This window comes from Homo sapiens, chromosome 19, assembly GCF_000001405.40.
Source record: "Homo sapiens chromosome 19, GRCh38.p14 Primary Assembly".
Lineage (NCBI taxonomy): Eukaryota > Metazoa > Chordata > Mammalia > Primates > Hominidae > Homo > Homo sapiens.
The window spans coordinates 37,265,936-37,292,597 of record NC_000019.10 but is presented as its reverse complement, the minus strand read 5'-3'; the positions used below and the strand labels follow the sequence as shown (position 1 = coordinate 37,292,597).

At 62.9% G+C, this 26,662-nt stretch overlaps 1 long non-coding RNA gene across 1 annotated transcript, besides 5 other annotated features; it reads left to right on the top strand.

The window, feature by feature from the left end:
* Nucleotides 4,811-5,793: an enhancer, noted in NCBI's record as "H3K27ac-H3K4me1 hESC enhancer chr19:37777707-37778689 (GRCh37/hg19 assembly coordinates)". NCBI's record gives its function as "activates a minimal SCP1, AML or CMV promoter by ChIP-STARR-seq in naive H9 embryonic stem cells {active_cell/tissue: H9 hESC(naive)}" and the evidence as "EXISTENCE:reporter gene assay evidence [ECO:0000049][PMID:30033119]".
* Nucleotides 10,844-11,374: an enhancer, noted in NCBI's record as "H3K27ac-H3K4me1 hESC enhancer chr19:37772126-37772656 (GRCh37/hg19 assembly coordinates)". NCBI's record gives its function as "activates a minimal SCP1, AML or CMV promoter by ChIP-STARR-seq in primed H9 embryonic stem cells {active_cell/tissue: H9 hESC(primed)}" and the evidence as "EXISTENCE:reporter gene assay evidence [ECO:0000049][PMID:30033119]".
* Nucleotides 11,375-11,906: an enhancer, noted in NCBI's record as "H3K27ac-H3K4me1 hESC enhancer chr19:37771594-37772125 (GRCh37/hg19 assembly coordinates)". NCBI's record gives its function as "activates a minimal SCP1, AML or CMV promoter by ChIP-STARR-seq in primed H9 embryonic stem cells {active_cell/tissue: H9 hESC(primed)}" and the evidence as "EXISTENCE:reporter gene assay evidence [ECO:0000049][PMID:30033119]".
* Nucleotides 18,440-18,976: an enhancer, noted in NCBI's record as "H3K27ac-H3K4me1 hESC enhancer chr19:37764524-37765060 (GRCh37/hg19 assembly coordinates)". NCBI's record gives its function as "activates a minimal SCP1, AML or CMV promoter by ChIP-STARR-seq in primed H9 embryonic stem cells {active_cell/tissue: H9 hESC(primed)}" and the evidence as "EXISTENCE:reporter gene assay evidence [ECO:0000049][PMID:30033119]".
* Nucleotides 18,977-19,514: an enhancer, noted in NCBI's record as "H3K27ac-H3K4me1 hESC enhancer chr19:37763986-37764523 (GRCh37/hg19 assembly coordinates)". NCBI's record gives its function as "activates a minimal SCP1, AML or CMV promoter by ChIP-STARR-seq in naive and primed H9 embryonic stem cells {active_cell/tissue: H9 hESC(naive and primed)}" and the evidence as "EXISTENCE:reporter gene assay evidence [ECO:0000049][PMID:30033119]".
* On the top strand, nucleotides 23,588-26,659 carry LOC284412 (Putative uncharacterized protein PP6455). The gene is made up of 2 exons (NR_029390.2): nucleotides 23,588-25,784; nucleotides 26,513-26,659. It is a non-coding gene; the product is annotated as a Putative uncharacterized protein PP6455 (long non-coding RNA).
* The last annotated feature ends 3 nt before the right edge of the window (nucleotides 26,660-26,662 follow it).

Below are 26,662 nucleotides of genomic sequence, written 5' to 3'. Positions count from 1 at the left end.
TCTCGGCTCCTCTGGCGGGCCTCCCTGAACGTGGCGTGGACTCGCGCACAGGCCCTGTCTCGCAGGTTTTCAGGTGCGCTTGGCTTTTCCTCCGCTTTGTGGGGCAGGTCTCCAGTGGCCCCCCGGGCGCACGCCTGGACATCACTGTCCGTCTCGTCGTCGCCCCCTACGGCCTCAAAGACACACGCTGCCTGCATGTGCTCTTGGGGGACGACAGTGCCACATGTGGACACGCTGGCACCAGCTCGGACTCGCCTCTGTCTCTCTTTGCCCGTGTCGCCGGAAGCCGCGTCGGGATGCTGGAGCCCTCGGGCCTTGGAGATGAAGGCAGGCCCCTGCTCCTGCCAGGAGGGAGGGAGGCAGTGGGCTCATGGGTCGGTGCCTTTGCAGCCGACAGCACGCCTTGCGCCCTGGGGATCTTTCTGTGCCCCGGCGAGACCCTTTCGGCCTCACTGCATTGGAACCCCATTCCCGATCACCCGGTTGGATCCATCATCGGACCCCAAGAGGAGTCCGCGCAGCCCAGCCGGCATCCCGAAGCTCCTCCTTTCGCGGGAACCGAAGCAGAAGAGCGATCAAGGAGGTCCTCACCACAGGACTCCTATGGGTCCGACCCTGGGTCTCCCGCAGGCCCCTCTGGCAGTCCTCTTCCCACCCGCCGCCTCGGGCTGCGCCGCCACCGCCGCCGCCGCAACCTCCAGCACCGCCGCCCCAGGCCCCGCAGCCGCCGCGTCGCCGCCATTTTTTAAAGGGTCCGCAGCCTGACTCTGCGGAGTAAGGGGGGGTGGAGCGGGGGAGTCGGCCTCGCCAGTGCGCATGCGCGAGGCCCAAGCCGCCGCTTGGGTCACAGTGAAAGCCACCGTTGCCCGGGGATGGGTCCCTGACACTTGGCGAAGTAGGAGCCCTGTGTGATCGTGCGTCTGAGTCTGGGCTGAGACCAGTCCTGGCCAGGGCAGTTACCAGGACGGTCTCCGGAGGCCGGGATTCGCGGAGGGTCCACCAGCAGGAAGAAACCCCAAGAGGAAGAAACCTCAGACAGATCGCCGGCGAGGCAGCGCGGGATCCCAGCCTCAGGCGTGCGCGGACGGTGTGCGGGTGAGTCTCCCCAAAAGTGGAGCCCTTGTGATGACGAGCACAGGTCCGCCTGTGTGCCCGTGGGCTGCTCTCTCACCGGTGGCTCTTAGTCTCGGAGAGCAGAACCCGGCAGCTTCAGGGGCTGCCTGCGGGTGGGTGTTCCCTGCTGTACGTGTGTGTTCGTTATGGGTGTGTGTGTGTGTGTTGGGGGGGTGCGTCTGTGTGTGTGTCTGTGTGTGTGCGCGCGCAGTGCGTGTCTGTGTGCCGACTTCTGTCTCTCTCTCACGTCTCTCTCTGTCTCTCTGTCTCTCTCTCTCTCTCTCTCCCTTCTCGCTGTTTCCGTCGCCCTCTCTGTCTGTCTCTGTCCGTCTGTGTGTGCGTGCGCCTTGGGACACATGTGCCCTGTGCGCCGGAGGGTGGGTTTCTTGCACGTCGGCCTTTCTTCTGGTCAGCGTGTCCCCGCGTCTCTGCCTGGGTCGTGTGGCCGGTTGGCAGTCGTCGTCCCGGCAGTTCCAGTTTGGGGGTCTGTGAAGGCCTGGGCAACGTGGGCATCGGCGTCGAACCCGCAGGGGTTTTCATCCCCTCCCCATCCGGAGCAGCCTCTTTGCTAGGCTGGATCCAGACGAGCGCTCCCCAACCAAGGACAACGGCCTCCCAGGCGCTCATTGTCCACCCGCAGGAGGGTGCCCGCAGAGCTTCAAGAAGGTGGTTGTCACGCCTGTCGCCCTCTGCCCTCATCGAGAAATGTAGCCACAGCTCGACGCAGGGACGGAGAAGGAAGCCGGCAAGGGGATGGGGCAAGCATGTCTGTCTCTCAAAGGCTGGCCTTCCTGGCCGAGTCACCCGTTTGACACTCCTCCCCGGATGCCGGTGGTGGTGGCATGGCCCCCCCGTATCCTGCCTGGGCTCTGGCCTCTGCTCTGACCTCCCTCTTGCTGTGTCTGCCCCGTCTCTGAGAAGCCTGGCAGCTTCTTAGCGTGGCTCAGTGTCTTCCACAAAGAAGACTTCCCCGTCCATCAGGGAGAAACCTCGTGGCGGTCCGCGTCATGATTGTTTCCCTCTCCACACCTCTTTCTGGATGATTGGGCAGCTGTGGTGATCCTGGAGCTCTGGGCTTCCATACCTGTGTGGGACAGGGAAGCTCTCTCGGTCTCCATGGCCCAAGTGATGGCTGCACGCTCGGTCCAGGAAGAGGCGGAGGCAAGCCCACCGCTCCTGACATTGGCCTTCTAGGAAAGGCGGTGTTGCATCCCACCTGCACTTCCTCTCTGATTCTTGAGGGCCAACCGGTTCCTCCGCTCCTGGGGAAAGTGCCTTCTAGCACCGAATCTTTTGGCTGCCACGGATGTCAGGGAGCCAACGGGACTGGGTTTTGGCTGGGTGCAGGGGAGGTTGCGTCAGGGGTACCTAGCCGGCGGCGGGCTGGGGGTGGGGTGTACTTTGTCCAAACCTCTCGGCTCCTCTGGCGGGCCTCCCTGAACGTGGCGTGGACTCGCGCACAGGCCCTGTCTCGCAGGTTTTCAGGTGCGCTTGGCTTTTCCTCCGCTTTGTGGGGCAGGTCTCCAGTGGCCCCCCGGGCGCACGCCTGGACATCACTGTCCGTCTCGTCGTCGCCCCCTACGGCCTCAAAGACACACGCTGCCTGCATGTGCTCTTGGGGGACGACAGTGCCACATGTGGACACGCTGGCTCCAGCTCGGACTCGCCTCTGTCTCTCTTTGCCCGTGTCGCCGGAAGCCGCGTCGGGATGCCGGAGCCCTCGGGCCTTGGAGATGAAGGCAGGCCCCTGCTCCTGCCAGGAGGGAGGGAGGCAGTGGGCTCATGGGTCGGTGCCTTTGCAGCCGACAGCACGCCTTGCGGCCCTGGGGATCTTTCTGTGCCCCGGCGAGACCCTTTCGGCCTCACTGCATTGGAACCCCATTCCCGATCACCCGGTTGGATCCATCATCGGACCCCAAGAGGAGTCCGCGCAGCCCAGCCGGCATCCCGAAGCTCCTCCTTCAGCGGGAACCGAAGCAGAAGAGCGCTCAAGGAGGTCCTCACCACAGGACTCCTATGGGTCCGACCCTGGGTCTCCCGCAGGCCCCTCTGGCAGTCCTCTTCCCACCCGCCGCCTCGGGCTGCGCCGCCACCGCCGCCACGGCAACCTCCAGCACCGCCGCCCCAGGCCCCGCAGCCGCCGCGTCGCCGCCATTTTTTAAAGGGTCCGCAGCCTGACTCTGCGGAGTAAGGGGGGGTGGAGCGGGGGAGTCGGCCTCGCCAGTGCGCATGCGCGAGGCCCAAGCCGCCGCTTGGGTCACAGTGAAAGCCACCGTTGCCCGGGGATGGGTCCCTGACACTTGGCGAAGTAGGAGCCCTGTGTGATCGTGCGTCTGAGTCTGGGCTGAGACCAGTCCTGGCCAGGGCATTTACCAGGACGGTCTCCGGAGGCCGGGATTCGCGGAGGGTCCACCAGCAGGAAGAAACCCCAGGAGGAAGAAAACTCAGACAGATCGCCGGCGAGGCAGCGCGGCATCCCAGCCTCAGGCGTGCGCGGACGGTGTGCGGGTGAGTCTCCCCAAAAGTGGAGCCCTTGTGATGACGAGCACAGGTCCGCCTGTGTGCCCGTGGGCTGCTCTCTCACCGGTGGCTCTTAGTCTCGGAGAGCAGAACCCGGCAGCTTCAGGGGCTGCCTGCGGGTGGGTGTTCCCTGCTGTACGTGTGTGTTCGTTATGGGTGTGTGTGTGTGTGTTGGGGGGGTGCGTCTGTGTGTGTGTCTGTGTGTGTGCGCGCGCAGTGCGTGTCTGTGTGCCGACTTCTGTGTCTCTCTCACGTCTCTCTCTGTCTCTCTCTCTCTCTCTCTCTCTCTCCCTTCTCGCTGTTTCCGTCGCCCTCTCTGTCTGTCTCTGTCCGTCTGTGTGTGCGTGCGCCTTGGGACACATGTGCCCTGTGCGCCGGAGGGTGGGTTTCTTGCACGTCGGCCTTTCTTCTGGTCAGCGTGTCCCCGCGTCTCTGCCTGGGTCGTGTGGCCGGTTGGCAGTCGTCGTCCCGGCAGTTCCAGTTTGGGGGTCTGTGAAGGCCTGGGCAACGTGGGCATCGGCGTCGAACCCGCAGGGGTTTTCATCCCCTCCACATCCGGAGCAGCCTCTTTGCTAGGCTGGATCCAGACGAGCGCTCCCCAACCAAGGACAACGGCCTCACAGGCGCTCATTGTCCACCCGCAGGAGGGTGCCCGCAGAGCTTCAAGAAGGTGGTTGTCACGCCTGTCGCCCTCTGCCCTCATCGAGAAATGTAGCCACAGCTCGACGCAGGGACGGAGAAGGAAGCCGGCAAGGGGATGGGGCAAGCATGTCTGTCTCTCAAAGGCTGGCCTTCCTGGCCGAGTCACCCGTTTGACAGTCCTCCCCGGATGCCGGTGGTGGTGGCATGGCCCCCCCGTATCCTGCCTGGGCTCTGGCCTCTGCTCTGACCTCCCTCTTGCTGTGTCTGCCCCGTCTCTGAGAAGCCTGGCGGCTTCTTAGCGTGGCTCAGTGTCTTCCACAAAGAAGACTTCCCCGTCCATCAGGGAGAAACCTCGTGGCGGTCCGCGTCATGATTGTTTCCCTCTCCACACCTCTTTCTGGATGACTGGGCAGCTGTGGTGATCCTGGAGCTCTGGGCTTCCATACCTGTGTGGGACAGGGAAGCTCTCTCGGTCTCCATGGCCCAAGTGATGGCTGCACGCTCGGTCCAGGAAGAGGCGGAGGCAAGCCCACCGCTCCTGACATTGGCCTTCTAGGAAAGGCGGTGTTGCATCCCACCTGCACTTCCTCTCTGATTCTTGAGGGCCAACCGGTTCCTCCGCTCCTGGGGAAAGTGCCTTCTAGCACCGAATCTTTTGGCTGCCACGGATGTCAGGGAGCCAACGGGACTGGGTTTTGGCTGGGTGCAGGGGAGTTTGCGTCAGGGGTACCTAGCCGGCGGCGGGCTGAGGGTGGGGTGTACTTTGTCCAAACCTCTCGGCTCCTCTGGCGGGCCTCCCTGAACGTGGCGTGGACTCGCGCACAGGCCCTGTCTCGCAGGTTTTCAGGTGCGCTTGGCTTTTCCTCCGCTTTGTGGGGCAGGTCTCCAGTGGCCCCCCGGGCGCACGCCTGGACATCACTGTCCGTCTCGTCGTTGCCCCCTACGGCCTCAAAGACACACGCTGCCTGCATGTGCTCTTGGGGGACGACAGTGCCACATGTGGACACGCTGGCACCAGCTCGGACTCGCCTCTGTCTCTCTTTGCCCGTGTCGCCGGAAGCCGCGTCGGGATGCCGGAGCCCTCGGGCCTTGGAGATGAAGGCAGGCCCCTGCTCCTGCCAGGAGGGAGGGAGGCAGTGGGCTCATGGGTCGGTGCCTTTGCAGCCGACAGCACGCCTTGCGGCCCTGGGGATCTTTCTGTGCCCCGGCGAGACCCTTTCGGCCTCACTGCATTGGAACCCCATTCCCGATCACCCGGTTGGATCCATCATCGGACCCCAAGAGGAGTCCGCGCAGCCCAGCCGGCATCCCGAAGCTCCTCCTTTCGCGGGAACCGAAGCAGAAGAGCGATCAAGGAGGTCCTCACCACAGGACTCCTATGGGTCCGACCCTGGGTCTCCCGCAGGCCCCTCTGGCAGTCCTCTTCCCACCCGCCGCCTCGGGCTGCGCCGCCACCGCCGCCGCCGCAACCTCCAGCACCGCCGCCCCAGGCCCCGCAGCCGCCGCGTCGCCGCCATTTTTTAAAGGGTCCGCAGCCTGACTCTGCGGAGTAAGGGGGGGTGGAGCGGGGGAGTCGGCCTCGCCAGTGCGCATGCACGAGGCCCAAGCCGCCGCTTGGGTCACAGTGAAAGCCACCGTTGCCCGGGGATGGGTCCCTGACACTTGGCGAAGTAGGAGCCCTGTGTGATCGTGCGTCTGAGTCTGGGCTGAGACCAGTCCTGGCCAGGGCAGTTACCAGGACGGTCTCCGGAGGCCGGGATTCGCGGAGGGTCCACCAGCAGGAAGAAACCCCAAGAGGAAGAAACCTCAGACAGATCGCCGGCGAGGCAGCGCGGGATCCCAGCCTCAGGCGTGCGCGGACGGTGTGCGGGTGAGTCTCCCCAAAAGTGGAGCCCTTGTGATGACGAGCACAGGTCCGCCTGTGTGCCCGTGGGCTGCTCTCTCACCGGTGGCTCTTAGTCTCGGAGAGCAGAACCCGGCAGCTTCAGGGGCTGCCTGCGGGTGGGTGTTCCCAGCTGTACGTGTGTGTTCGTTATGGGTGTGTGTGTGTGTGTTGGGGGGGTGCGTCTGTGTGTGTGTCTGTGTGTGTGCGCGCGCAGTGCGTGTCTGTGTGCCGACTTCTGTCTCTCTCTCACGTCTCTCTCTGTCTCTCTCTCTCTCTCTCTCTCTCTCTCTCCCTTCTCGCTGTTTCCGTCGCCCTCTCTTTCTATCTCTGTCCGTCTGTGTGTGCGTGCGCCTTGGGACACATGTGCCCTGTACGCCGGAGGGTGGGTTTCTTGCACGTCGGCCTTTCTTCTGGTCAGCCTCTCCCCGCGTCTCTGCCTGGGTCGTGTGGCCGGTTGGCAGTCGTCGTCCCGGCAGTTCCAGTTTGGGGGTCTGTGAAGGCCTGGGCAACGTGGGCATCGGCGTCGAACCCGCAGGGGTTTTCATCCCCTCCCCATCCGGAGCAGCCTCTTTGCTAGGCTGGATCCAGACGAGCGCTCCCCAACCAAGGACAACGGCCTCCCAGGCGCTCATTGTCCACCCGCAGGAGGGTGCCCGCAGAGCTTCAAGAAGGCGGTTGTCACGCCTGTCGCCCTCTGCCCTCATCGAGAAATGTAGCCACAGCTCGACGCAGGGACGGAGAAGGAAGCCGGCAAGGGGATGGGGCAAGCATGTCTGTCTCTCAAAGGCTGGCCTTCCTGGCCGAGTCACCCGTTTGACACTCCTCCCCGGATGCCGGTGGTGGTGGCATGGCCCCCCCGTATCCTGCCTGGGCTCTGGCCTCTGCTCTGACCTCCCTCTTGCTGTGTCTGCCCCGTCTCTGAGAAGCCTGGCGGCTTCTTAGCGTGGCTCAGTGTCTTCCACAAAGAAGACTTCCCCGTCCATCAGGGAGAAACCTCGTGGCGGTCCGCGTCATGATTGTTTCCCTCTCCACACCTCTTTCTGGATGACTGGGCAGCTGTGGTGATCCTGGAGCTCTGGGCTTCCATACCTGTGTGGGACAGGGAAGCTCTCTCGGTCTCCATGGCCCAAGTGATGGCTGCACGCTCGGTCCAGGAAGAGGCGGAGGCAAGCCCACCGCTCCTGACATTGGCCTTCTAGGAAAGGCGGTGTTGCATCCCACCTGCACTTCCTCTCTGATTCTTGAGGGCCAACCGGTTCCTCCGCTCCTGGGGAAAGTGCCTTCTAGCACCGAATCTTTTGGCTGCCACGGATGTCAGGGAGCCAACGGGACTGGGTTTTGGCTGGGTGCAGGGGAGGTTGCGTCAGGGGTACCTAGCCGGCGGCGGGCTGGGGGTGGGGTGTACTTTGTCCAAACCTCTCGGCTCCTCTGGCGGGCCTCCCTGAACGTGGCGTGGACTCGCGCACAGGCCCTGTCTCGCAGGTTTTCAGGTGCGCTTGGCTTTTCCTCCGCTTTGTGGGGCAGGTCTCCAGTGGCCCCCCGGGCGCACGCCTGGACATCACTGTCCGTCTCGTCGTCGCCCCCTACGGCCTCAAAGACACACGCTGCCTGCATGTGCTCTTGGGGGACGACAGTGCCACATGTGGACACGCTGGCTGCAGCTCGGACTCGCCTCTCTCTTTGCCCGTGTCGCCGGAAGCCGCGTCGGGATGCCGGAGCCCTCGGGCCTTGGAGATGAAGGCAGGCCCCTGCTCCTGCCAGGAGGGAGGGAGGCAGTGGGCTCATGGGTCGGTGCCTTTGCAGCCGACAGCACGCCTTGCGGCCCTGGGGATCTTTCTGTGCCCCGGCGAGACCCTTTCGGCCTCACTGCATTGGAACCCCATTCCCGATCACCCGGTTGGATCCATCATCGGACCCCAAGAGGAGTCCGCGCAGCCCAGCCGGCATCCCGAAGCTCCTCCTTTCGCGGGAACCGAAGCAGAAGAGCGATCAAGGAGGTCCTCACCACAGGACTCCTATGGGTCCGACCCTGGGTCTCCCGCAGGCCCCTCTGGCAGTCCTCTTCCCACCCGCCGCCTCGGGCTGCGCCGCCACCGCCGCCGCCGCAACCTCCAGCACCGCCGCCCCAGGCCCCGCAGCCGCCGCGTCGCCGCCATTTTTTAAAGGGTCCGCAGCCTGACTCTGTGGAGTAAGGGGGGGTGGAGCGGGGGAGTCGGCCTCGCCAGTGCGCATGCGCGAGGCCCAAGCCGCCGCTTGGGTCACAGTGAAAGCCACCGTTGCCAGGGGATGGGTCCCTGACACTTGGCGAAGTAGGAGCCCTGTGTGATCGTGCGTCTGAGTCTGGGCTGAGACCAGTCCTGGCCAGGGCAGTTACCAGGACGGTCTCCGGAGGCCGGGATTCGCGGAGGGTCCACCAGCAGGAAGAAACCCCAAGAGGAAGAAACCTCAGACAGATCGCCGGCGAGGCAGCGCGGGATCCCAGCCTCAGGCGTGCGCGGACGGTGTGCGGGTGAGTCTCCCCAAAAGTGGAGCCCTTGTGATGACGAGCACAGGTCCGCCTGTGTGCCCGTGGGCTGCTCTCTCACCGGTGGCTCTTAGTCGCGGAGAGCAGAACCCGGCAGCTTCAGGGGCTGCCTGCGGGTGGGTGTTCCCTGCTGTACGTGTGTGTTCGTTATGGGTGTGTGTGTGTGTGTTGGGGGGATGCGTCTGTGTGTGTGTCTGTGTGTGTGCGCGCGCAGTGCGTGTCTGTGTGCCGACTTCTGTCTCTCTCTCTCTCTCTCTCTCTCTCTCTCTCTCTCTCTGTCTCTCTCCCTTCTCGCTCTTTCGGTCGCCCTCTCTTTCTGTCTCTCTCCGTCTGTGTGTGCGTGCGCCTTGGGACACATGGGCCCTGTGCGCCGGAGGGTGGATTTCTTGCACGTCGGCCTTTCTTCTGGTCAGCGTCTCCCCGCGTCTCTGCCTGGGTCGTGTGGCCGGTTGGCAGTCGTCGTCCCGGCAGTTCCAGTTTGGGGGTCTGTGAAGGCCTGGGCAACGTGGGCATGGGTGTCGGACCCGTAGGGTTTTCATCCCCTCCCCATCCGGAGCAGCCTCTTTGCTAGGCTGGATCCAGACGAGCGCTCCCCAACCAAGGACAACGGCCTCCCAGGCGCTCATTGTCCACCCGCAGGAGGGTGCCCGCAGAGCTTCAAGAAGGTGGTTGTCACGCCTGTCGCCCTCTGCCCTCATCGAGAAATGTAGCCACAGCTCGACGCAGGGACGGAGAAGGAAGCCGGCAAGGGGATGGGGCGGCAAGCATGTCTGTCTCTCAAAGGCTGGCCTTCCTGGCCGAGTCACCCGTTTGACAGTCCTCCCCGGATGCCGGTGGTGGTGGCATGGTCCCCCCGTATCCTGCCTGTGCTCTGGCCTCTGCTCTGACCTCCCTCTTGCTGTGTCTGCCCCGTCTCTGAGAAGCCTGGCGGCTTCTTAGCGTGGCTCAGTGTCTTCCACAAAGAAGACTTCCCCGTCCATCAGGGAGAAACCTCGTGGCGGTCCGCGTCATGATTGTTTCCCTCTCCACACCTCTTTCTGGATGATTGGGCAGCTGTGGTGATCCTGGAGCTCTGGGCTTCCATACCTGTGTGGGACAGGGAAGCTCTCTCGGTCTCCATGGCCCAAGTGATGGCTGCACGCTCGGTCCAGGAAGAGGCGGAGGCAAGCCCACCGCTCCTGACATTGGCCTTCTAGGAAAGGCGGTGTTGCATCCCACCTGCACTTCCTCTCTGATTCTTGAGGGCCAACCGGTTCCTCCGCTCCTGGGGAAAGTGCCTTCTAGCACCGAATCTTTTGGCTGCCACGGATGTCAGGGAGCCAACGGGACTGGGTTTTGGCTGGGTGCAGGGGAGGTTGCGTCAGGGGTACCTAGCCGGCGGCGGGCTGGGGGTGGGGTGTACTTTGTCCAAACCTCTCGGCTCCTCTGGCGGGCCTCCCTGAACGTGGCGTGGACTCGCGCACAGGCTCTGTCTCGCAGGTTTTCAGGTGCGCTTGGCTTTTCCTCCGCTTTGTGGGGCAGGTCTCCAGTGGCCCCCCGGGCGCACGCCTGGACATCACTGTCCGTCTCGTCGTCGCCCCCTACGGCCTCAAAGACACACGCTGCCTGCATGTGCTCTTGGGGGACGACAGTGCCACATGTGGACACGCTGGCACCAGCTCGGACTCGCCTCTGTCTCTCTTTGCCCGTGTCGCCGGAAGCCGCGTCGGGATGCCGGAGCCCTCGGGCCTTGGAGATGAAGGCAGGCCCCTGCTCCTGCCAGGAGGGAGGGAGGCAGTGGGCTCATGGGTCGGTGCCTTTGCAGCCGACAGCACGCCTTGCGGCCCTGGGGATCTTTCTGTGCCCCGGCGAGACCCTTTCGGCCTCACTGCATTGGAACCCCATTCCCGATCACCCGGTTGGATCCATCATCCGACCCCGAGAGGAGTCCGCGCAGCCCAGCCGGCATCCCGAAGCTCCTCCTTTCGCGGGAACCGAAGCAGAAGAGCGATCAAGGAGGTCCTCACCACAGGACTCCTATGGGTCCGACCCTGGGTCTCCCGCAGGCCCCTCTGGCAGTCCTCTTCCCACCCGCCGCCTCGGGCTGCGCCGCCACCGCCGCCGCCGCAACCTCCAGCACCGCCGCCCCAGGCCCCGCAGCCGCCGCGTCGCCGCCATTTTTTAAAGGGTCCGCAGCCGGACTCTGCGGAGTAAGGGGGGGTGGAGCGGGGGAGTCGGCCTCGCCAGTGCGCATGCGCGAGGCCCAAGCCGCCGCTTGGGTCACAGTGAAAGCCACCGTTGCCCGGGGATGGGTCCCTGACACTTGGCGAAGTAGGAGCCCTGTGTGATCGTGCGTCTGAGTCTGGGCTGAGACCAGTCCTGGCCAGGGCAGTTACCAGGACGGTCTCCGGAGGCCGGGATTCGCGGAGGGTCCACCAGCAGGAAGAAACCCCAGGAGGAAGAAAACTCAGACAGATCGCCGGCGAGGCAGCGCGGCATCCCAGCCTCAGGCGTGCGCGGACGGTGTGCGGGTGAGTCTCCCCAAAAGTGGAGCCCTTGTGATGACGAGCACAGGTCCGCCTGTGTGCCCGTGGGCTGCTCTCTCACCGGTGGCTCTTAGTCGCGGAGAGCAGAACCCGGCAGCTTCAGGGGCTGCCTGCGGGTGGGTGTTCCCTGCTGTACGTGTGTGTTCGTTATGGGTGTGTGTGTGTGTGTTGGGGGGATGCGTCTGTGTGTGTGTCTGTGTGTGTGCGCGCGCAGTGCGTGTCTGTGTGCCGACTTCTGTCTCTCTCTCACGTCTCTCTCTGTCTCTCTCTCTCTCTCTCTCTCTCTCCCTTCTCGCTGTTTCCGTCGCCCTCTCTGTCTGTCTCTGTCCGTCTGTGTGTGCGTGCGCCTTGGGACACATGTGCCCTGTGCGCCGGAGGGTGGGTTTCTTGCACGTCGGCCTTCCTTCTGGTCAGCCTCTCCCCGCGTCTCTGCCTGGGTCGTGTGGCCGGTTGGCAGTCGTCGTCCCAGCAGTTCCAGTTTGGGGGTCTGTGAAGGCCTGGGCAACGTGGGCATCGGCGTCGAACCCGCAGGGGTTTTCATCCCCTCCCCATCCGGAGCAGCCTCTTTGCTAGGCTGGATCCAGACGAGCGCTCCCCAACCAAGGACAACGGCCTCCCAGGCGCTCATTGTCCACCCGCAGGAAGGTGCCCGCAGAGCTTCAAGAAGGTGGTTGTCACGCCTGTCGCCCTCTGCCCTCATCGAGAAATGTAGCCACAGCTCGACGCAGGGACGGAGAAGGAAGCCGGCAAGGGGATGGGGCGGCAAGCATGTCTGTCTCTCAAAGGCTGGCCTTCCTGGCCGAGTCACCCGTTTGACAGTCCTCCCCGGATGCCGGTGGTGGAGGCATGGCCCCCCCGTATCCTGCCTGGGCTCTGGCCTCTGCTCTGACCTCCCTCTTGCTGTGTCTGCCCCGTCTCTGAGAAGCCTGGCGGCTTCTTAGCGTGGCTCAGTGTCTTCCACAAACAAGACTTCCCCGTCCATCAGGGAGAAACCTCGTGGCGGTCCGCGTCATGATTGTTTCCCTCTCCACACCTCTTTCTGGATGATTGGGCAGCTGTGGTGATCCTGGAGCTCTGGGCTTCCATACCTGTGTGGGACAGGGAAGCTCTCTCGGTCTCCATGGCCCAAGTGATGGCTGCACGCTCGGTCCAGGAAGAGGCGGAGGCAAGCCCACCGCTCCTGACATTGGCCTTCTAGGAAAGGCGGTGTTGCATCCCACCTGCACTTCCTCTCTGATTCTTGAGGGCCAACCGGTTCCTCCGCTCCTGGGGAAAGTGCCTTCTAGCACCGAATCTTTTGGCTGCCACGGATGTCAGGGAGCCAACGGGACTGGGTTTTGGCTGGGTGCAGGGGAGGTTGCGTCAGGGGTACCTAGCCGGCGGCGGGCTGGGGGTGGGGTGTACTTTGTCCAAACCTCTCGGCTCCTCTGGCGGGCCTCCCTGAACGTGGCGTGGACTCGCGCACAGGCCCTGTCTCGCAGGTTTTCAGGTGCGCTTGGCTTTTCCTCCGCTTTGTGGGGCAGGTCTCCAGTGGCCCCCCGGGCGCACGCCTGGACATCACTGTCCGTCTCGTCGTCGCCCCCTACGGCCTCAAAGACACACGCTACCTGCATGTGCTCTTGGGGGACGACAGTGCCACATGTGGACACGCTGGCACCAGCTCGGACTCGCCTCTGTCTCTCTTGGCCCGTGTCGCCGGAAGCCGCGTCGGGATGCCGGAGCCCTCGGGCCTTGGAGATGAAGGCAGGCCCCTGCTCCTGCCAGGAGGGAGGGAGGCAGTGGGCTCATGGGTCGGTGCCTTTGCAGCCGACAGCACGCCTTGCGGCCCTGGGGATCTTTCTGTGCCCCGGCGAGACCCTTTCGGCCTCACTGCATTGGAACCCCATTCCCGATCACCCGGTTGGATCCATCATCGGACCCCAAGAGGAGTCCGCGCAGCCCAGCCGGCATCCCGAAGCTCCTCCTTTCGCGGGAACCGAAGCAGAAGAGCGATCAAGGAGGTCCTCACCACAGGACTCCTATGGGTCCGACCCTGGGTCTCCCGCAGGCCCCTCTGGCAGTCCTCTTCCCACCCGCCGCCTCGGGCTGCGCCGCCACCGCCGCCGCCGCAACCTCCAGCACCGCCGCCCCAGGCCCCGCAGCCGCCGCGTCGCCGCCATTTTTTAAAGGGTCCGCAGCCTGACTCTGCGGAGTAAGGGGGGCTGGAGCGGGGGGAGTCGGCCTCGCCAGTGCGCATGCGCGAGGCCCAAGCCGCCGCTTGGGTCAAAGTGAAAGCCACCGTTGCCCGGGGATGGGTCCCTGACACTTGGCGAAGTAGGAGCCCTGTGTGATCGTGCGTCTGAGTCTGGGCTGAGACCAGTCCTGGCCAGGGCAGTTACCAGGACGGTCTCCGGAGGCCGGGATTCGCGGAGGGTCCACCAGCAGGAAGAAACCCCAAGAGGAAGAAACCTCAGACAGATCGCCGGCGAGGCAGCGCGGGATCCCAGCCTCAGGCGTGCGCGGACGGTGTGCGGGTGAGTCTCCCCAAAAGTGGAGCCCTTGTGATGACGAGCACAGGTCCGCCTGTGTGCCCGTGGGCTGCTCTCTCACCGGTGGCTCTTAGTCGCGGAGAGCAGAACCCGGCAGCTTCAGGGGCTGCCTGCGGGTGGGTGTTCCCTGCTGTACGTGTGTGTTCGTTATGGGTGTGTGTGTGTGTGTTGGGGGGGTGCGTCTGTGTGTGTGTCTGTGTGTGTGCGCGCGCAGTGCGTGTCTGTGTGCCGACTTCTGTGTCTCTCTCACGTCTCTCTCTGTCTCTCTCTCTCTCTCTCTCTCTCTCCCTTCTCGCTGTTTCCGTCGCCCTCTCTGTCTGTCTCTGTCCGTCTGTGTGTGCGTGCGCCTTGGGACACATGTGCCCTGTGCGCCGGAGGGTGGGTTTCTTGCACGTCGGCCTTTCTTCTGGTCAGCGTGTCCCCGCGTCTCTGCCTGGGTCGTGTGGCCGGTTGGCAGTCGTCGTCCCGGCAGTTCCAGTTTGGGGGTCTGTGAAGGCCTGGGCAACGTGGGCATCGGCGTCGAACCCGCAGGGGTTTTCATCCCCTCCACATCCGGAGCAGCCTCTTTGCTAGGCTGGATCCAGACGAGCGCTCCCCAACCAAGGACAACGGCCTCACAGGCGCTCATTGTCCACCCGCAGGAGGGTGCCCGCAGAGCTTCAAGAAGGTGGTTGTCACGCCTGTCGCCCTCTGCCCTCATCGAGAAATGTAGCCACAGCTCGACGCAGGGACGGAGAAGGAAGCCGGCAAGGGGATGGGGCAAGCATGTCTGTCTCTCAAAGGCTGGCCTTCCTGGCCGAGTCACCCGTTTGACAGTCCTCCCCGGATGCCGGTGGTGGTGGCATGGCCCCCCCGTATCCTGCCTGGGCTCTGGCCTCTGCTCTGACCTCCCTCTTGCTGTGTCTGCCCCGTCTCTGAGAAGCCTGGCGGCTTCTTAGCGTGGCTCAGTGTCTTCCACAAAGAAGACTTCCCCGTCCATCAGGGAGAAACCTCGTGGCGGTCCGCGTCATGATTGTTTCCCTCTCCACACCTCTTTCTGGATGACTGGGCAGCTGTGGTGATCCTGGAGCTCTGGGCTTCCATACCTGTGTGGGACAGGGAAGCTCTCTCGGTCTCCATGGCCCAAGTGATGGCTGCACGCTCGGTCCAGGAAGAGGCGGAGGCAAGCCCACCGCTCCTGACATTGGCCTTCTAGGAAAGGCGGTGTTGCATCCCACCTGCACTTCCTCTCTGATTCTTGAGGGCCAACCGGTTCCTCCGCTCCTGGGGAAAGTGCCTTCTAGCACCGAATCTTTTGGCTGCCACGGATGTCAGGGAGCCAACGGGACTGGGTTTTGGCTGGGTGCAGGGGAGTTTGCGTCAGGGGTACCTAGCCGGCGGCGGGCTGAGGGTGGGGTGTACTTTGTCCAAACGTCTCGGCTCCTCTGGCGGGCCTCCCTGAACGTGGCGTGGACTCGCGCACAGGCCCTGTCTCGCAGGTTTTCAGGTGCGCTTGGCTTTTCCTCCGCTTTGTGGGGCAGGTCTCCAGTGGCCCCCCGGGCGCACGCCTGGACATCACTGTCCGTCTCGTCGTTGCCCCCTACGGCCTCAAAGACACACGCGGCCTGCATGTGCTCTTGGGGGACGACAGTGCCACATGTGGACACACTGGCACCAGCTCGGACTCGCCTCTGTCTCTCTTTGCCCGTGTCGCCGGAAGCCGCGTCGGGATGCCGGAGCCCTCGGGCCTTGGAGATGAAGGCAGGCCCCTGCTCCTGCCAGGAGGGAGGGAGGCAGTGGGCTCATGGGTCGGTGCCTTTGCAGCCGACAGCACGCCTTGCGGCCCTGGGGATCTTTCTGTGCCCCGGCGAGACCCTTTCGGCCTCACTGCATTGGAACCCCATTCCCGATCACCCGGTTGGATCCATCATCGGACCCCAAGAGGAGTCCGCGCAGCCCAGCCGGCATCCCGAAGCTCCTCCTTCAGCGGGAACCGAAGCAGAAGAGCGATCAAGGAGGTCCTCACCACAGGACTCCTATGAGTCCGACCCTGGGTCTGCCGCAGGCCCCTCTGGCAGTCCTCTTCCCACCCGCCGCCTCGGGCTGCGCCGCCACCGCCGCCGCCGCAACCTCCAGCACCGCCGCCCCAGGCCCCGCAGCCGCCGCGTCGCCGCCATTTTTTAAAGGGTCCGCAGCCTGACTCTGCGGAGTAAGGGGGGGTGGAGCGGGGGAGTCGGCCTCGCCAGTGCGCATGCGCGAGGCCCAAGCCGCCGCTTGGGTCACAGTGAAAGCCACCGTTGCCCGGGGATGGGTCCCTGACACTTGGCGAAGTAGGAGCCCTGTGTGATCGTGCGTCTGAGTCTGGGCTGAGACCAGTCCTGGTCAGGGCAGTTACCAGGACGGTTTCCGGAGGCCGGGATTCGCGGAGGGTCCACCAGCAGGAAGAAACGCCAGGAGGAAGAAAACTCAGACAGATCGCCGGCGAGGCAGCGCGGCATCCCAGCCTCAGGCGTGCGCGGACGGTGTGCGGGTGAGTCTCCCCAAAAGTGGAGCCCTTGTGATGACGAGCACAGGTCCGCCTGTGTGCCCGTGGGCTGCTCTCTCACCGGTGGCTCTTAGTCGCGGAGAGCAGAACCCGGCAGCTTCAGGGGCTGCCTGCGGGTGGGTGTTCCCTGCTGTACGTGTGTGTTCGTTATGGGTGTGTGTGTGTGTGTTGGGGGGGTGCGTCTGTGTGTGTGTCTGTGTGTGTGCGCGCGCAGTGCGTGTCTGTGTGCCGACTTCTGACTCTCTCTCACCTCTCTCTCTCTCTCTCTCTCTCTCTCTCTCTCTCTCTCTCTCTCTCTCTCCCTTCTCGCTGTTTCCGTCGCCCTCTCTGTCTGTCTCTGTCCGTCTGTGTGTGCGTGCGCCTTGGGACACATGTGCCCTGTGCGCCGGAGGGTGGGTTTCTTGCACGTCGGCCTTTCTTCTGGTCAGCGTGTCCCCGCGTCTCTGCCTGGGTCGTGTGGCCGGTTGGCAGTCGTCGTCCCGGCAGTTCCAGTTTGGGGGTCTGTGAAGGCCTGGGCAACGTGGGCATCGGCGTCGAACCCGCAGGGGTTTTCATCCCCTCCCCATCCGGAGCAGCCTCTTTGCTAGGCTGGATCCAGACGAGCGCTCCCCAACCAAGGACAACGGCCTCCCAGGCGCTCATTGTCCACCCGCAGGAGGGTGCCCGCAGAGCTTCAAGAAGGTGGTTGTCACGCCTGTCGCCCTCTGCCCTCATCGAGAAATGTAGCCACAGCTCGACGCAGGGACGGAGAAGGAAGCCGGCAAGGGGATGGGGCAAGCATGTCTGTCTCTCAAAGGCTGGCCTTCCTGGCCGAGTCACCCGTTTGACACTCCTCCCCGGATGCCGGTGGTGGTGGCATGGCCCCCCCGTATCCTGCCTGGGCTCTGGCCTCTGCTCTGACCTCCCTCTTGCTGTGTCTGCCCCGTCTCTGAGAAGCCTGGCGGCTTCTTAGCGTGGCTCAGTGTCTTCCACAAACAAGACTTCCCCGTCCATCAGGGAGAAACCTCGTGGCGGTCCGCGTCATGATTGTTTCCCTCTCCACACCTCTTTCTGGATGATTGGGCAGCTGTGGTGATCCTGGAGCTCTGGGCTTCCATACCTGTGTGGGACAGGGAAGCTCTCTCGGTCTCCATGGCCCAAGTGATGGCTGCACGCTCGGTCCAGGAAGAGGCGGAGGCAAGCCCACCGCTCCTGACATTGGCCTTCTAGGAAAGGCGGTGTTGCATCCCACCTGCACTTCCTCTCTGATTCTTGAGGGCCAACCGGTTCCTCCGCTCCTGGGGAAAGTGCCTTCTAGCACCGAATCTTTTGGCTGCCACGGATGTCAGGGAGCCAACGGGACTGGGTTTTGGCTGGGTGCAGGGGAGGTTGCGTCAGGGGTACCTAGCCGGCGGCGGGCTGGGGGTGGGGTGTACTTTGTCCAAACGTCTCGGCTCCTCTGGCGGGCCTCCCTGAACGTGGCGTGGACTCGCGCACAGGCCCTGTCTCGCAGGTTTTCAGGTGCGCTTGGCTTTTCCTCCGCTTTGTGGGGCAGGTCTCCAGTGGCCCCCCGGGCGCACGCCTGGACATCACTGTCCGTCTCGTCGTCGCCCCCTACGGCCTCAAAGACACACGCTGCCTGCATGTGCTCTTGGGGGACGACAGTGCCACATGTGGACACGCTGGCTCCAGCTCGGACTCGCCTCTGTCTCTCTTTGCCCGTGTCGCCGGAAGCCGCGTCGGGATGCCGGAGCCCTCGGGCCTTGGAGATGAAGGCAGGCCCCTGCTCCTGCCAGGAGGGAGGGAGGCAGTGGGCTCATGGGTCGGTGCCTTTGCAGCCGACAGCACGCCTTGCGGCCCTGGGGATCTTTCTGTGCCCCGGCGAGACCCTTTCGGCCTCACTGCATTGGAACCCCATTCCCGATCACCCGGTTGGATCCATCATCGGACCCCAAGAGGAGTCCGCGCAGCCCAGCCGGCATCCCGAAACTCCTCCTTCAGCGGGAACCGAAGCAGAAGAGCGATCAAGGAGGTCCTCACCACAGGACTCCTATGGGTCCGACCCTGGGTCTCCCGCAGGCCCCTCTGGCAGTCCTCTTCCCACCCGCCGCCTCTGGCTGTGCCGCCGCCGCCGCCGACGTAACCTCCAGCACCGCCGCCCCAGGCCCCGCAGCCGCCGCGTCGCCGCCATTTTTTAAAGGGTCCGCAGCCTGACTCTGCGGAGTAAGGGGGGGTGGAGCGGGGGAGTCGGCCTCGCCAGTGCGCATGCGCGAGGCCCGAGCCGCCGCTTGGGCCACAGTGAAAGCCACCGTTGCCCGGGGATGGGTCCCTGACACTTGGCGAAGTAGCAGCCCTGTGTGATCGTGCGTCTGAGTCTGGGCTGAGACCAGTCCTGGCCAGGGTAGTTACCAGGACGGTCTCCGGAGGCCGGGATTCGCGGAGGGTCCACCAGCAGGAAGAAACCCCAGGAGGAAGAAACCTCAGACAGATCGCCGGCGAGGCAGCGCGGGATCCCAGCCTCAGGCGTGCGCGGACGGTGTGCGGGTGAGTCTCCCCAAAAGTGGAGCCCTTGTGATGACGAGCACAGGTCCGCCTGTGTGCCCGTGGGCTGCTCTCTCACCGGTGGCTCTTAGTCGCGGAGAGCAGAACCCGGCAGCTTCAGGGGCTGCCTGCGGGTGGGTGTTCCCTGCTGTACGTGTGTGTTCGTTATGGGTGTGTGTGTGTGTGTTGGGGGGATGCGTCTGTGTGTGTGTCTGTGTGTGTGCGCGCGCAGTGCGTGTCTGTGTGCCGACTTCTGTCTCTCTCTCTCTCTCTCTCTCTCTCTCTCTCTCTCTCTCTCTGTCTCTCTCCCTTCTCGCTCTTTCGGTCGCCCTCTCTTTCTGTCTCTGTCCGTCTGTGTATGCGTGCGCCTTGGGACACATGGGCCCTGTGCGCCGGAGGGTGGATTTCTTGCACGTCGGCCTTTCTTCTGGTCAGCGTCTCCCCGCGTCTCTGCCTGGGTCGTGTGGCCGGTTGGCAGTCGTCGTCCCGGCGGTTCCAGTTTGGGGGTCTGTGAAGGCCTGGGCAACGTGGGCATGGGTGTCGGACCCGCAGGGTTTTCATCCCCTCCCCATCCGGAGCAGCCTCTTTGCTAGGCTGGATCCAGACGAGCGCTCCCCAACCAAGGACAACGGCCTCCCAGGCGCTCATTGTCCACCCGCAGGAAGGGTGCCCGCAGAGCTTCAAGAAGGTGGTTGTCACGCCTGTCGCCCTCTGCCCTCATCGAGAAATGTAGCCACAGCTCGACGCAGGGACGGAGAAGGAAGCCGGCAAGGGGATGGGGCAAGCATGTCTGTCTCTCAAAGGCTGGCCTTCCTGGCCGAGTCACCCGTTTGACACTCCTCCCCGGATGCCGGTGGTGGTGGCATGGCCCCCCCGTATCCTGCCTGGGCTCTGGCCTCTGCTCTGACCTCCCTCTTGCTGTGTCTGCCCCGTCTCTGAGAAGCCTGGCGGCTTCTTAGTGTGGCTCAGTGTCTTCCACAAACAAGACTTCCCCGTCCATCAGGGAGAAACCTCGTGGCGGTCCGCGTCATGATTGTTTCCCTCTCCACACCTCTTTCTGGATGATTGGGCAGCTGTGGTGATCCTGGAGCTCTGGGCTTCCATACCTGTGTGGGACAGGGAAGCTCTCTCGGTCTCCATGGCCCAAGTGATGGCTGCACGCTCGGTCCAGGAAGAGGCGGAGGCAAGCCCACCGCTCCTGACATTGGCCTTCTAGGAAAGGCGGTGTTGCATCCCACCTGCACTTCCTCTCTGATTCTTGAGGGCCAACCGGTTCCTCCGCTCCTGGGGAAAGTGCCTTCTAGCACCGAATCTTTTGGCTGCCACGGATGTCAGGGAGCCAACGGGACTGGGTTTTGGCTGGGTGCAGGGGAGGTTGCGTCAGGGGTACCTAGCCGGCGGCGGGCTGGGGGTGGGGTGTACTTTGTCCAAACCTCTCGGCTCCTCTGGCGGGCCTCCCTGAACGTGGCGTGGACTCGCGCACAGGCCCTGTCTCGCAGGTTTTCAGGTGCGCTTGGCTTTTCCTCCGCTTTGTGGGGCAGGTCTCCAGTGGCCCCCCGGGCGCACGCCTGGACATCACTGTCCGTCTCGTCGTCGCCCCCTACGGCCTCAAAGACACACGCTACCTGCATGTGCTCTTGGGGGACGACAGTGCCACATGTGGACACGCTGGCACCAGCTCGGACTCGCCTCTGTCTCTCTTGGCCCGTGTCGCCGGAAGCCGCGTCGGGATGCCGGAGCCCTCGGGCCTTGGAGATGAAGGCAGGCCCCTGCTCCTGCCAGGAGGGAGGGAGGCAGTGGGCTCATGGGTCGGTGCCTTTGCAGCCGACAGCACGCCTTGCGGCCCTGGGGATCTTTCTGTGCCCCGGCGAGACCCTTTCGGCCTCACTGCATTGGAACCCCATTCCCGATCACCCGGTTGGATCCATCATCGGACCCCAAGAGGAGTCCGCGCAGCCCAGCCGGCATCCCGAAGCTCCTCCTTTCGCGGGAACCGAAGCAGAAGAGCGATCAAGGAGGTCCTCACCACAGGACTCCTATGGGTCCGACCCTGGGTCTCCCGCAGGCCCCTCTGGCAGTCCTCTTCCCACCCGCCGCCTCGGGCTGCGCCGCCACCGCCGCCGCCGCAACCTCCAGCACCGCCGCCCCAGGCCCCGCAGCCGCCGCGTCGCCGCCATTTTTTAAAGGGTCCGCAGCCTGACTCTGCGGAGTAAGGGGGGCTGGAGCGGGGGGAGTCGGCCTCGCCAGTGCGCATGCGCGAGGCCCAAGCCGCCGCTTGGGTCAAAGTGAAAGCCACCGTTGCCCGGGGATGGGTCCCTGACACTTGGCGAAGTAGGAGCCCTGTGTGATCGTGCGTCTGAGTCTGGGCTGAGACCAGTCCTGGCCAGGGCAGTTACCAGGACGGTCTCCGGAGGCCGGGATTCGCGGAGGGTCCACCAGCAGGAAGAAACCCCAAGAGGAAGAAACCTCAGACAGATCGCCGGCGAGGCAGCGCGGGATCCCAGCCTCAGGCGTGCGCGGACGGTGTGCGGGTGAGTCTCCCCAAAAGTGGAGCCCTTGTGATGACGAGCACAGGTCCGCCTGTGTGCCCGTGGGCTGCTCTCTCACCGGTGGCTCTTAGTCGCGGAGAGCAGAACCCGGCAGCTTCAGGGGCTGCCTGCGGGTGGGTGTTCCCTGCTGTACGTGTGTGTTCGTTATGGGTGTGTGTGTGTGTGTTGGGGGGATGCGTCTGTGTGTTTGTCTGTGTGTGTGCGCGCGCAGTGCGTGTCTGTGTGCCGACTTCTGTCTCTCTCTCACGTCTCTCTCTCTCTCTCTCTCTCTCTCTCTCTCTCTCTCTCTTTGTCTCTCTCCCTTCTCGCTCTTTCGGTCGCCCTCTCTTTCTGTCTCTGTCCGTCTGTGTGTGCGTGCGCCTTGGGACACATGGGCCCTGTGCGCCGGAGGGTGGGTTTCTTGCACGTCGGCCTTTCTTCTGGTCAGCGTGTCCCCGCGTCTCTGCCTGGGTCGTGTGGCCGGTTGGCAGTCGTGGTCCCGGCAGTTCCAGTTTGGGGGTCTGTGAAGGCCTGGGCAACGTGGGCATCGGCGTCGAACCCGCAGGGGTTTTCATCCCCTCCCCATCCGGAGCAGCCTCTTTGCTAGGCTGGATCCAGACGAGCGCTCCCCAACCAAGGACAACGGCCTCCCAGGCGCTCATTGTCCACCCGCAGGAGGGTGCCCGCAGAGCTTCAAGAAGGTGGTTGTCACGCCTGTCGCCCTCTGCCCTCATCGAGAAATGTAGCCACAGCTCGACGCAGGGACGGAGAAGGAAGCCGGCAAGGGGATGGGGCAAGCATGTCTGTCTCTCAAAGGCTGGCCTTCCTGGCCGAGTCACCCGTTTGACACTCCTCCCCGGATGCCGGTGGTGGTGGCATGGCCCCCCCGTATCCTGCCTGGGCTCTGGCCTCTGCTCTGACCTCCCTCTTGCTGTGTCTGCCCCGTCTCTGAGAAGCCTGGCGGCTTCTTAGCGTGGCTCAGTGTCTTCCACAAAGAAGACTTCCCCGTCCATCAGGGAGAAACCTCGTGGCGGTCCGCGTCATGATTGTTTCCCTCTCCACACCTCTTTCTGGATGATTGGGCAGCTGTGGTGATCCTGGAGCTCTGGGCTTCCATACCTGTGTGGGACAGGGAAGCTCTCTCGGTCTCCATGGCCCAAGTGATGGCTGCACGCTCGGTCCAGGAAGAGGCGGAGGCAAGCCCACCGCTCCTGACATTGGCCTTCTAGGAAAGGCGGTGTTGCATCCCACCTGCACTTCCTCTCTGATTCTTGAGGGCCAACCGGTTCCTCCGCTCCTGGGGAAAGTGCCTTCTAGCACCGAATCTTTTGGCTGCCACGGATGTCAGGGAGCCAACGGGACTGGGTTTTGGCTGGGTGCAGGGGAGGTTGCGTCAGGGGTACCTAGCCGGCGGCGGGCTGGGGGTGGGGTGTACTTTGTCCAAACCTCTCGGCTCCTCTGGCGGGCCTCCCTGAACGTGGCGTGGACTCGCGCACAGGCCCTGTCTCGCAGGTTTTCAGGTGCGCTTGGCTTTTCCTCGCTTTGTGGGGCCGGTCTCCAGTGGCCCCCCGGGCGCACGCCTGGACATCACTGTCCGTCTTGTCGTCGCCCCCTACAGCCTCAAAGACACAGGCTGCCTGCATGTGCTCTTGGGGGACGACAGTGCCACATGTGGACACGCTGGCTCCAGCTCGGACTCGCCTCTGTCTCTCTTTGCCCGTGTCGCCGGAAGCCGCGTCGGGATGCCGGAGCCCTCGGGCCTTGGAGATGAAGGCAGGCCCCTGCTCCTGCCAGGAGGGAGGGAGGCAGTGGGCTCATGGGTCGGTGCCTTTGCAGCCGACAGCACGCCTTGCGGCCCTGGGGATCTTTCTGTGCCCCGGCGAGACCCTTTCGGCCTCACTGCATTGGAACCCCATTCCCGATCACCCGGTTGGATCCATCATCGGACCCCAAGAGGAGTCCGCGCAGCCCAGCCGGCATCCCGAAACTCCTCCTTCAGCGGGAACCGAAGCAGAAGAGCGATCAAGGAGGTCCTCACCACAGGACTCCTATGGGTCCGACCCTGGGTCTCCCGCAGGCCCCTCTGGCAGTCCTCTTCCCACCCGCCGCCTCTGGCTGTGCCGCCGCCGCCGCCGACGCAACCTCCAGCACCGCCGCCCCAGGCCCCGCAGCCGCCGCGTCGCCGCCATTTTTTAAAGGGTCCGCAGCCTGACTCTGCGGAGTAAGGGGGGGTGGAGCGGGGGAGTCGGCCTCGCCAGTGCGCATGCGCGAGGCCCGAGCCGCCGCTTGGGCCACAGTGAAAGCCACCGTTGCCCGGGGATGGGTCCCTGACACTTGGCGAAGTAGCAGCCCTGTGTGATCGTGCGTCTGAGTCTGGGCTGAGACCAGTCCTGGCCAGGGTAGTTACCAGGACGGTCTCCGGAGGCCGGGATTCGCGGAGGGTCCACCAGCAGGAAGAAACCCCAGGAGGAAGAAACCTCAGACAGATCGCCGGCGAGGCAGCGCGGGATCCCAGCCTCAGGCGTGCGCGGACGGTGTGCGGGTGAGTCTCCCCAAAAGTGGAGCCCTTGTGATGACGAGCACAGGTCCGCCTGTGTGCCCGTGGGCTGCTCTCTCACCGGTGGCTCGTAGTCGCGTAACGCAGAAGTAGCAGTTTCAGCGGCTGACACTAAGAACAATGCATACTGGCAAAGTGAGGTGTCTCACATCTTTAATCCCAGCAATTTGGGAGGCTGAGGCGGATGGATCACTTGAGGTCAGGGGATCACACCAGCCTAACCAACATGATGAAACTCCGCGTCTACTAAAAAAAAGTACCAGACAGTTAGCGCGGTGTGGTGGCATATGCCTGTAAATCCCAGCTATTTGGGAGGCTGAGGCAGGAGAATCGGTTGAACCCGTGTGGCAGAGGTTGCGGTGAGTGTAGATTGCACCACTGCACTCTAGCCTGGGTAACAAGCACAAAACTGTCTCAAAAAAAAAAAAAAAATTCATCAGTGCAGAGTTAGGCCAGATTCATTTTCAGAGTAGGAGGGAATTTCAAATTTTGGGTGAAATGTCCCAACTGCCGGAAGGTGAAAGTGTTCTGTGATGTAAAATTTAGGTCACACTCTATAAAGCTTCTCCTTATTCTATGTGTGAACAGCTAGTCTGTATCTTCACCTATGCATATTTAAAAATCAACCTTAAGAAGGCTCTTGGCCACCATAATCCTTCCTACCCTGTAGCAAGAGCCCAGCCTCAGACTATGCTTCCTTCTGCCTCCGAGTGCAATGCCTTCCCCCGAATCTCCAAGGTACCAAACCGGTCAGGGGCAGCTGAGACAGCTCTACTTGTACGAGTCCTCCCCAAGCCCTTGAAATCACAGGCATCTCTGCTGTCCCTGCCCTTCATCCACATCACTGAACAATTAAGCACACACATCTGTGTAGTTTTATTTAAACTGTTCCATGTGTGTTTGTTTACAATTAACAACATGAATGACTGCAGGATGGATGCAGCAGAAAGGAATGCTGAGGGAGGACTCCAGTTGGAATGAGCCACTTTTCCAGGACTAGGAATGAACTTTCCCCAATACCAACAAGGCAGCCTCCAGGGCAAGAAATGGTAACAGAATCCATCCTGTTGACAGTCAAGATGGAATTACAGAGAATTCTCACCTCTTTTTTGACTCTCAGGTGGAAACCCCCTTCCCATGGGGTGAAGCGCAGTCTGCTCCAGAGACCCACTGTTAGGGTCGGGGATGTCACAGAAATTAACAGGGCAGCCAATTCCCATCCAGAGGGGCCCAGGATGACCCCGAACCCTCTAGCTCAGCCCCAAGCTCGGGCCAGGGAGTGAAGCCTTTGTCCCCAAGCAACAGAGTGAGGGTCTGTCTCTAACCCGGTGGGCTCCAGTGAAAGGAAAATGGCCTGGAGGTGCCCACAGGAGGGCGCCCTAGTTCTGAGACAGGTCTACGGCTCCCAGACTGTGTCCCCATGAGTAACAGAGGGACACGCAGAGGGGCATACTGAGTGCCTATAGGGGACTCACAGACTGCAGATGCACGCTGCGGATCCAGAAGCCGGTCAGGTAATGAGGTGCAGAGGTGTGGGGAAGACCTGGGTGCCTCCCTGGGTGCCAACCAGCCTAACCAGCCGGGGCCACCAAACAGAAGTGCTTCTGACATTAACGCGACACACAGAAGGTGTGTAGGGTGGGTAGTGGAAGTGACCGCAGAGGCCTCTGGGGATTGTAGTTTTGGAGCTAGAGAGGCAGGCAAGCAGTTGGGTTCGCCCACACGGTGTGCCTCTCACATCTGCACAGCGCACACAACCAAGCTTAGGAGCCGACTGTTAAGATGCCCCAGTGACACGGACAAGTTTCTCCTCTGCAACCCAATGAGAGCTGCTGACCACGAGAGCATCGCGGGACCGCCAAAGGATTCTGGAAAATGTGGTCCCGGGTGGCCAGTGTGCGCTGACCTTCACCTGAAGGTGAGCTGAGCTCACCATGCAAGTCTCCACCCTGGGGTGCCCTTCCCCAAGCAGATGCCAGGTTGGGGCAGAAGCAGTTCAGGGAGAAGCGATGCGCTCCTGGGACTGCCGGTTTGGGGGCAACATCGGCCCTGTGTCCCCTAGAGTAGGAGGGTGTACCAGGATGGGGAACCCCAAGGCCGTTTTCAGGGAGAACAAGATTGGCTTGAGGCAAACTCCCGGAATGGAGATGGGGAGAGTCTGGTCGCATTTCCCCAGGAGTTTAGGGGATGAAGGCTGGACTTGGGTGAACAGCAAAAGATCCCCTGGTGATAGTGGTGGTGAGGATCAGAGGCTTGAGCCAGAAATTCCCGAGGTGTTTGTTTGTTTTGTTTTTTTTGAGACAGAGTCTTGATCTGTCTCCCAGGATGTAGTGCAATGGCATGCTCTTGGCTCATTGCAACCTCCGCCTCCCAGGTTCAAGCGATTCTCCTGCCTCAGCCTCCCAAGTAGCTGAGATTATAGGCACCTGCCACTGTGCCCACCTAAATTTTTTTTGTTTTTTTGTATTTTTAGTAGAGACGATGTTTCACCACATTGCCCAGCCTGGTCTCGAACTCCTGACCTCAAGTGATCCACCTGCCTCGGCCTCCCAAAGTGCTGGGATTACAGGCATGAGCCCCCACACCCAGCTCATTTTTATCTTTTAACTTAAAGGTTTTTATTTTTCTCTATTTTTACTCTTACAGGTACGGCTTGAAGGAAACTTCTGGAGGGTGGGGTGGTGTTGAAGAGAAGGCACAATTGTCACCATTTTGTTCAACATGGGCGTTTTCTTTGTGCATTGATTTGCATTTTTAAAGGTATTCCATTAAAAATATGTTTATCTATTTTAATGT